Source organism: Homo sapiens, chromosome 1 (assembly GCF_000001405.40).
Source record: "Homo sapiens chromosome 1, GRCh38.p14 Primary Assembly".
Lineage (NCBI taxonomy): Eukaryota > Metazoa > Chordata > Mammalia > Primates > Hominidae > Homo > Homo sapiens.
In genome coordinates, this window is record NC_000001.11 from 165,595,070 (window position 1) to 165,605,272 (window position 10,203).

Below are 10,203 nucleotides of genomic sequence, written 5' to 3' on the forward strand. Positions count from 1 at the left end.
GGCAGAGCACATTCTGGGATGGCAGAAGACATTCTGCCTGTCCAAGAATTTCAAAGAGCCTCCATCTGCCCCTTGGAGTCAGGGTCTATGTCAATCATGATGCCGAGTTTCCAGACAGGAGGAGAATGGACTAATTAATTTCTCAAGTTCGCCTTCAAAACCAGACTCTGATCCCCCACTTTCAGCATAAGGGAACAGACCCAATAAGTTAAATTGAAGTTAAAAAAAAAAAAAAACCCTGGTCTGAGGTTTCCTAGGAACCCACTTGAATAGTGCACAATACAAACTCAACAGATATCTTCTGCCAGCTCTTTTCAATTTTCTCTGCTATGTGTGATATTTTCCATGGATGAGACCAGAGATGTTTGGTTGTAAATGATTGTCAGATGTTTAAACAATTTTGTTGCTGAAACATGATAATTTCCAGAAGCCCCTTTTCTGTACACGGTATCTTTTGCTAAGACCCACCACAAAGAAAATGAGTTGTACCAGAAGAATGGCAGAAGATCTGGAAATTAACTAAAAAAAAAAAATGGACCATAACATGCCTCAAACAAAACAAAAAAAATCATTAATAAGAAACAAGCCAGTTTCTAAGGGTCATGGAAAGAATACACATTGAGTTCCCAGCAGCTGGCTATGTTTCAAAGTCAGTAACCTCCAACTTGTCAGGGAAGATTGTGGTTAATGCTGTGAAAGACATGTGCTGAAAGATTTCTGGTTGCCCTTAAATTCCTGAATTTCTAGTCAGGATATCATACCACACATGTGCAAAACAGAAAAGTCTGGTAAAGTCTAAGTGGGTCCTGCTGTAAGTGTATAAAATCTTAACTTATAAAACCAATACATTAGATAATCACATATCAAAAAAGGATTAACTCAAAAATATTTTTAAATAAAAATTTCCCTACTCACATAGTAGGTTGAATCATATGAAACTGCAAATATTTGACTCTTTTTGACCCAAAAACCCCCAAATTCTGGCAATTCAAGCTATACATTTCATTAACAACATTGGCACTAAAAATTTAAAGAGAGTATTAGGAATCCCTACAAAAGGTTGCAGAAATAAAATTTTTAAAAAATATATTTCTCAAATTACAAAGTCAACAGGAAATTATTTTGTTCAATGTTTTCTATTTTTAGATGTATAATTTTTTTCAGTGACATACCTATAGCCTCTTTTAATCTGAATACCACAGGATATAATCAGTGATAACTAAGAAGAATTTTTTTTTTTTTTTTTTTTTTTTGAGACAGGGCCTCACTCTGTAGCCCAGGCTGGAGTGCAGTGGCAGGCACAATCTCGGGTCACTGCAACCTCCACCTTCTGGATTCAAGTGATTCATGTCTCAGCCTCCCTGGTAGCTGGGATAACAGGCGTGTGCCACCACGCCCAGCTAATTTTTGTATTTTTTGGTAGAGATGGGGTTTCACCTGAAGTAAGAACTTCAGTAATAAATTTGGCAATGCCTAAAATAATAGTAATACACTTCATGTTTGTTTATTGTTTATATTTCAAAGTAGCTTTAAATGAAATGACTCTATTAAGCCATTTCTCCAAATCCTTTGTGTGAAAATGAGACAAAGATGGAAGAAAGAGAGAGAAAGAAAGAAGGAAAGATGGACTAATTTTAATTATCGAAATTTAGACACCCAAATGAGCATTGTCTTTCAAAGGACTCCCTATAGCTACATATCTAATTCCAAGTGACGCTGCCACACTGATCAGAACGTTCATGGAATTCCTCTTTGGAATCACTTTCCAAGTTACATAAGAAAACCAGTACATTCTTTAACAGTCATATTTTTTTCTTTTTCTTTTTAAATTCCAAAACGGGGTGTCTAGCTAGATCAGTTGGTAGAGCATAAGACTCTTAATCTCAGGGTCATGGGTTTGAGCCCTACGTTGGGCGCTGTGTTTCCCAGCATTTTGGGAGGCCGAGATGGGCAGATCACTTGAACTCAGGAATTCGAGACCAGCCTGGCCAACATGGCAAAACCCCGTCTCCACAAAAAAATACTAATATGAGCCAGGTGTGGTGGCGCATGCCTGTAGTCCCAGCTACTTGGGAGGCTGAGGTGGGAGGATCACTTGAGCCTAGGAGGTGGAGGCTGCAGTGAGCTGAGAGCGCCACTGCACTCCGGCCTGGGTGACAGAGTGAGACCTTGTCTCAAAAAAAGAAAGAAAGAAAGAAAAGAAAAGAAAATGGCACCAACCAGCTTATTGATCTACTTAGTTCCAGATGCTTTTTGACTATTTGCTAAAATGTGTACATACATGCATACATAAAAATAAAATAAAAACGACTCGGGAAAGGAAAATATTTTTACACTGAGGATACCCAAGAATGCCGGGTACATTCTCCCACTTTCCCTTTTTGTCTGCTTATTACCCACTTCCTCCAGCAGTACCCTCCACCTTCTGACAGAAAACCAGGTCTCTTCTCTGTAAACCAAGGTGGTTCGAAATGAGATGGTGGGAATGTCCCTTACAACGGCCAGCCCCAATCCCACCGGGAGTAACTTCGACATATTCCTTTACTCTTTCTGCTTCTTTTAACATATCTGAAAATGGAAAGTAGGTAAACTGCACCTACTTCCTCAGAAGGTGGAAGGGATTCGTGGTGTAATCTCTCTACGTGGGCGGAAACACACTGTAAGCACCCAAATAACAAAATGTAAATGTCTAGCAAGTATATAAAAAAACATCAGGAAAGGTTTTTTGTTTGTTTTTGTTTTGTTTTGTTTTTGTTTTTGTTTTTCATATAAAAGGCCAAAAGTAGGGAAGTGACAGAAAGGCTGATTGCCGACCTTTTCAGAGCTTACTTATTTTAAACAATTACACTGACTCATAAAATAAAAGTATTTCTTGTGCCCCGGTCAAAAGCAAGTGGATTTTTACTTTAAGGGTGAATAATAAGAATGCTTTGGGGATGACGAATAAAAGGGCTTCCCCCGGCTAGCCGAGGCGGAGCCATCGGGGATATACCATCTCTCCTCGTCGATCTGGAAGGCTTTCTGAAGGAACTGGGGTTTGTGTCCCTGGCACGCCCGGGACCTGCGTGGGGCTCAGCGCGCTGCCAGGCGACCTCAGCAGCCCAGAGCTTCAACGGTTGCTGTGGCAACAGGCCGCCCAGAGCAGCAGTCAAAGTCCCTGCGTGAGCGACTGCACTTCCCAAGCGCGGAGAGTCTGCCCAATGAGTTCCGCCCTCTCTAGCGCGCTTTCTGTGATCCACCAATCAGGCTCTGCCACGCCCGAGCTGAGTGGTCAGCTTGCCTGGGAGGGCGGGGTTAGGGTGCAGAAACAGGACGGAGAAGGGGGCTGTATTTCCCCTGGCGTGTGAAATGGATGTTAGTGACTAAAGCTCAATTTTCCAGTTAAGGGAGGAGCCGAGACTTTTAAGTCGAGTGTTCCTGTGGGGCCAAAAGGATGGTTTCAGAGAAATCCCAGGAAGTGAGAGTGCTGGGATATGCGAGGGGCCCACGGAGCCCTCCCCTGCGTGTCTGAGATCACACCCTGCGGGTACCCTGCCGTCGTGTGCTGAAGGAGGTGACTGGATCTCGACTCCAGAGTTTGCTCCTGAGATCGAAAAACAAAACAACCCAATAATAGTAATGACAGCCCTGGGTGGGGACAGTTGCAGCAGGTCTCATGAGAAACTCACTAATTTTGTAGGTTCAGGGAAGGCGTGGGCATGTTGGTGAAGTAAGGTTCTGAGTGGAAGAAGAAAATGCTGCTTCTGGGGAAGAGAATACCGTCAGAAGGAAGGAAAGAAAGGAGGGAGTGGGAGGGGAGGGGAAATCAAGGGAGAGGAGAAGAGGGGAGGAGGGAAGGTGAGGTGAGGTGATTGGTATTCTGCCAATCCCATTCTGCACACTAGTGAGACCTAGCAAGGACTAGAGTTTCAGGGGGAAAATACGAGAATAATGAAAGATAACAGAGAGGAAAGAAAAAAGAAATAATTGAAAAGTTTGAAAGAAGAAAGACAACAGCTGAACCAATGGAGGTGAAAATAGAAGGAAATGAAAATTCTGCAAGCTTTTGTTTCATGGATAAAAGGACTGTATTTTCTGGTCCATTATCAGGATACAAGATGGAAAAAAAAGCTATTGAACTTGTGGAGAAAGTGGCTGGTTTAAATTAGTCCTGTCCCTGAAAATCCAAGCTGCGTGTTTGTCAGTCTTATGGCTGATTTAACTCATAGGCCCAGGAGAGAAAGGATAGAAGGAAGCCTGAATGACCAGCAAAGAATCTGCATCCAATCAACACTCAGAGCATGTATGCTACATTCTTCAGAAACCTTCAGGAGTCATAGACTGTGGTCAGTTCTTCGTCAGAATTATTTTAGATTTACTTCAGTTGTTTTTTCATCAAATGCACATAAAACATGGAATTGTTCTTAGCTGTGCAGACCTTGTCTATTTTCTGAAAGGAAAAACAATGTTAATTTTTAAAGCCCTACATACATTACATCTTTGTACTTTTCAAATCATTGTGTCACCCCCTTCCCTTCTCTTTTGAAGGTGCCTGGCTGAATCTCTCCTATTCTCACAATGGCTTTGCCTCCATTCTGCTGAAGTCGCTTCCCATTGCTCACATTATTATACTGTTTTTACTTCACTTCCAAGCTTGTTTCTGACTACACAAAGGGTGCTGTAATTCTGAGTTCCCTATATATAGAGTTGCTTTTCCAGGAACATTATTAATAAAAGGAAAGGTCTTCCTTTTCCATTATGGAGATATACCCATGTTACGTTGTGCTTTGATGATCTGGGCTCTGACTTATAAAACCAGTGTTACTATAATTTTCACATCTTTGAGCAGCTCTGCCCAGTCAGTTCCCCATAGGTCCCTCGGGAGTTTTTCTTGTTTTATTTTTGAATCTTAGCTGGAATCTATCTTCATTAGGAGTCTAGCGTCTTGTTCTCCGTAGAGCTCTGAAATGGTATAACAGAGAAAGGGGTACTAGAAACAGCAGGCTGACTCTCTTTAATTTTCTTTTTCTTTTTTTTTTTTTTTTTTTGAGACGGAGTCTCGCTGGTCGCCCAGGCTGGAATGCAGTGGCGCAATCTCGGCTCACTGCAAGCTCCGCCTCCCAGGTTCACGCCATTCTCCTGCCTCGCCCTCCCGAGTAGCTGGGACTACAGGCGCCCGCCACCACGCCCGGCTAACTTTTTGTATTTTTAGTAGAGACGGGGTTTCACCGTGTTAGCCAGGATGGTCTCGATCTCCAGACCTCATGATCCGCCCGCCTCGGCCTCTCAAAGTGCTGGGATTACAGGCGTGAGCCACCGCGACCGGCCGACTCTCTTTAATTTTCTAACAACTCAAATAGAAAGTTTTTTGGCTTCTGCTGTTTCCTGACTCTTCCTTTCCTCTTTTCATATAGCTGGTCTACCTTACTGATGTTTCAAGTCACTCTAGCTGCTAGAATTTAGGTGAATTATATTTCAGGCTTTCAAGCCATTTAAGGGGACAAGGAAGATTGTTAACGTCTGGACCTCAGATCCACTGGCCTTAAGAGCTCAGTATCACTCCCCACGATGTTGGCAGATTGGTGTATGTTGTTCTCTGATGTTACCTTGTAGCCATCTAAATGGCTCTCTGCATGCTAAACCTTGGGGAGGAAAGGCTCAAATAGGGTTCACCTTCCCTAACTCCTACTCTTCCATCATTTTTTAAACTATCACAATATCCTGGACATTCTTATTCATTGCTGAATCAGTATAGTTTGAGTGTTTGGAAAAGAGGCGGTGAGAGGAGAACAAAGATGAGTGGAAAAAGCTGAAGTGAAAGCCTTTTCTCAAAAGCTCCTAGTCAGGAGAAGTGACACTGTAGGGCAGACAACTCTAGAAATAGTAGGATACACAGAGGAAGGGCCAGAGTTCAGACGTATGTGAACTCGATGTTGTAAATAGAACATGGGTATAAGGAAGACAGAACACTCTAGTGGTTGCTGGCACAAACTCCTGGGTTCTGATTTCCACTGTGGTGATTACTATGTGGTGACCCTAGACAAGTTACTCAACCTCAGCTTCCTTGTCCGTAAAAGGGGGATACTAATGGCACCAACTTCACAGGGTTGTTGTGACAATTGAATAGGTTGATTATATAAAGTGCTTGGAATAGCATCTGGCATTTGGAAGTGCTAAATAGGTATTAACTATTATTATTCTAGAGCCATAATCCCAAACCCACAGCAGCTTGCCACCACAGGAGTGTCTCTGATACAACCATTCTTTGAGCAAAGACAGTGGGGCATTCTTTCTCATAGTTACTTGTTCTTTTATTGTTATAGGCTCTACTTGGTGTCCAGGACATTAATTAAGCAAACAAGCTTTTGCTTAGAATTCAGTAAAAGCATCATAATCCATTTTCATTTCTACTTTAATACAAGGGTCAGTATGAATTGTCATCCATTGATAGTGGAAATTCTCTACAATAGCTTCTCTATGAGTATGTTAGCAGCACAGTGGAAAAAGAAATATATGAGAACCTTGACTGCTTTCCACCTCTTTCTCTCGTAACTTTCAGTATTCCACAATCAATTCCTTCCACACTACCAAGGAGAGTCCAAAGAAATCAGTGTCCTGAGATCCACCACTGAAATTAAGCATTGCTGTGGGTGAAACTCAAGTGACGCTGACTTTCCAGGATATAGGAGTAATTAGAAATATAAAGTGAATAAGAGAAGGTGGAACATTTGATGAGAAGTGATAAGTGGCCACAAGGTGGCATAGGACAACAGCCACAGAGCACTCCCTTCCTCCCAAGTGACTCCATTTTGCATAAGGGCTCTGTCTCTGCTGCCCTGCCCTCTTACAACTTAGCACCCTTAAAAGCTGTCTTTGCAAACACCCTCGTGCCTTTCTTCTCCCACATTCCGTAGTCAGTGGTCCTCTTTCCCTAGTTCCTCTTTTCTTTCAATAGGTCTCAATTCTCATTGTTTCAGCATGGATTCCCTTTACTCGCAGGTGACCCTGCTTGTTGGTCCTGTACTCGGCAATTCCTCCTTCAGAAAAGTGAGCTCGGCAGGGCACGGTGGCTCATGCCTGTAATCCCAGCACTTTGGGAGGCTGAGGCCAGCAGATCACGAGGTCAAGAGATTGAGACCATCCTGGCCAACATGGTGAAACTTCGCCTCTACTAAAAACACAAAAATTAGCCAGGCATGGTGGCAGGCACCTATAATCCCAGCTACTTGGGAGGCTGAGGCAGGAGAATCGCTTGAACCCAGGAGGCGGAGGTTGCAGTGAGCCAAGATCACACCACTGCACTCCAGCCTGGGCAACAGAGTGAGACTCTGTCTCAAAAAAAAAAAACTAAATAAATAAATAAAATAGAAAAGTGAGCTCCTCCACTGCATCTCCAAGTCACACATTCAGTGGAATCTAAGTGAGGCATGCAGCAGAGTCCACTGGTTTGGCCATTTCACCAGTCACGTTGGGGTCCAACAGGGCTGAGTAACAGAAGGCTGTTGATTGACTTTATGTAATCTTCAAGAGTTTCCTGAGTAGTCAGTTTGAGTTTTTTAGATGATATGATCTTCTATAGAGGAAATAGATTAGGGCATTAAAATTGAGAAAGCAGTGCCTGACTGGATGTTTGTTAAGGAATTATTACCCAAAGACAAGTGGCCTAGGAGTCAGTAGACTGACCTGGATTTTAATCCCACCCCTAGCACATAGCTTGTATGTTTAGGCCAGTTAATTAATTCTATGAGTGGCATCCTTTTGTCCATAAAATGAGGGTAATATCCATCTTGTAGGATTTGTAACATGTAAAATATCTACTTCAATAAATGTTGGTTTCCTCTTTTTCCCTCATATGCAAAATGAAGGGGACTGGGCCAGGTGTTGTGGCTCACACCTATAATTCCAGCGCTTTGGGAGGCCAAGGCTGGAGGATAGATTGAGCCTAGGAGTTGGGGATCAGCCTGGGCAAGAAAGTGAGACCCCAACTCTACAAAAAAAAAAAATCAAAAAATTAGCTGGATGTGGTGACATGCACCTGTGCCTATGGTTCCAGCTACTCGGGAGGCCGAAGCAGGAGGATTGCCTGAGCCCAGGAAGTTCAGGCTGCAGTGAGCCAAGATCATGCCATTGCACTCCAGCCTGGGCAACAGAGTGAGACCCTGTCTCAAAAATAGTAGGGGGAGGAGGGACTGGACTAGATCTTTAAGTCTTTTCCAATGTTAATATTCTATGTTCTATACCTTATTACAATGATGACTCTCATAAATTAATGGAAGTCTGGCAGCAAGTGAATAATAAAGTATCTCCTGATTTTAGGGGAACAGGGGCTATCAAGAACTAAAATAGGATTGCTTTACACTTCTGTGAGCATTCTCTACAACTCCTTCCTCTCCAGACCTTTTGAAGAGGCAGAACAGTTTCCTGTCCCTCAATCAAAGACTACATATAAACAGGGAGTGGGCTGGGCATGGTGGCTCATGCCTGTAATCCCAAAACTGTGGGAGGCCAAGGCGGGCTGATCACTTGAGATCTGGAGTTCGAGACCAGCCTGGCCAACATGATGAAACCCTATCTCTATTAAAAATACAAAAAATTAGCTGGGTGTGGTGATATGCACCTGTATTCCCAGCTACTTGGGAGGCTGAGGCATGAGAATCACGTGAACCCAAGAGGCAGAGGTTGCAGTGAACCGAGATCACGCCACTTCACTTCAGCCTGGGTGACAGAGGGAGACTCTGTCTTTAAAAAAATAATAATAGGGAGTGGCCTCAGCCAAAGACATGGCTAGTTTAGAGTGGGAAGGGCTCAGCAACTTCCCAAAGCACAGGGTCCCAGCAGAAAGACTACCCTGTGATCCTTCCCTCAGGAGTGGCTTCCTTCCAGTGCCCCTATTACCTCCTCTTAGAGCCCGGAGACACTGCAAATGTCAGTGTCCAGGATGCTCTGGGTAGAAGTTAATGATTACTTGAGTCAGCTCTTTCTGCAAACCCTGATGCCTGTGCCTGGTCACTCCGAATCTGGAAGAGACACTGCATAATCTTTGGAAATTCACTGCAGTTATTTTCTTCATCTCCCAATAATCAACCTCAACAACATCCCTCAGTCCTAGGAACTTCCTAGATGGAGTTTGGTCTCTAGACTAGCTATGGGATATCATAACAGCTATGAAGGAATAGAATCATTTTGTGACTTTAACCTATTAGCCCTCTAGTACTGGCCTTAAACAGAGAGACAGGTTTAAAAAACAAAGCCCATGACTCAAGTTAAGGACTCCAGAGCCTGGAAACTCTCTCTCAGGATTGATACCTCTGTTGTTTTTTCAGGACTTAATGTTAGGAACATGGGTTCTCTATATTGGGGGAGTATTATGGAATGAATTGTGTCTCCACAAAATTCATGTGCTGAAGTCCTAACCTCAGAATGTGATTGTATTTGGAATGAGGGCCTTTAAAAGATAGTTAAGGTAAAATGAGGTCATATGGATGGGCCCTAATCCAATATGACTGGTGTCTTTTAAGGAGAAGAGATTAGGACACAGATATACCAAAGGTAGATCATGTAAAGATACCAGAAGAGAATGGCCATCTACAAGCCAAAAAAAAAGCGGTCTTCAAAGAAACCAACCCTGCCAACACCTTAATCTCAGACTTCAGCCTCCAGAATTATGAGAAAATTAATTTCTGTTGTTTAAGCCACCCAGCTGGTGTACTTTGCTATGTAATTCCAGAAAACTAATATAGGGAGAGTTATTAAGACATGTCTCATATTTCTGCCCTTTCCTATTGCCTCCAACCAGATTGTATCTGCTTCCCTGTGTCTACTTGCTGGCTTGGAACTTATTAAGATTGGATCCTTCCTGGAAGAAATTTGCTGATGGAGGCAGAAGGACACTCAGAATTGAAACTGTGTGAGCTTTGGTGCCTGGGATCCTTACTTGCTGTTGCCCATACTTAATTCAAATACTCAATGGATATTTATTATGTCCTAGGGCTATAAGAACATAAGAAAAAGACCCCTGAAACTAGGAAAGAAAGCTTCAAAGAGATGGTCATTTAGACATTTTTAAAGAATGAGAGGAATTGTTGGAGAAGATTGGCATGGGAGAAGAGAATTGAAGCAGAGGGAACAGCATGTACAAAGGTACAAAGATGTGAAACAGAATGACCCGCTGGAGGAACTACATCCTACTGACTAGAATATAGTGTCCATGTGGGCCTGTGGCAC

General features: G+C 42.9%; 1 pseudogene, besides 2 other annotated features; it reads left to right on the forward strand.

Moving 5' to 3' along the window:
• Positions 1,114-1,321: a silencer, noted in NCBI's record as "fragment chr1:165565420-165565627 (GRCh37/hg19 assembly coordinates)". NCBI's record gives its function as "represses an EF-1alpha promoter that drives an FKBP-Casp9 reporter gene in an ReSE screen in K562 erythroleukemia cells {active_cell/tissue: K562}" and the evidence as "EXISTENCE:reporter gene assay evidence [ECO:0000049][PMID:32094911]".
• TRK-CTT13-1 (tRNA-Lys (anticodon CTT) 13-1) lies at positions 1,844-1,916 on the forward strand (annotated as a pseudogene).
• Positions 7,306-7,466: a silencer, noted in NCBI's record as "fragment chr1:165571612-165571772 (GRCh37/hg19 assembly coordinates)". NCBI's record gives its function as "represses an EF-1alpha promoter that drives an FKBP-Casp9 reporter gene in an ReSE screen in K562 erythroleukemia cells {active_cell/tissue: K562}" and the evidence as "EXISTENCE:reporter gene assay evidence [ECO:0000049][PMID:32094911]".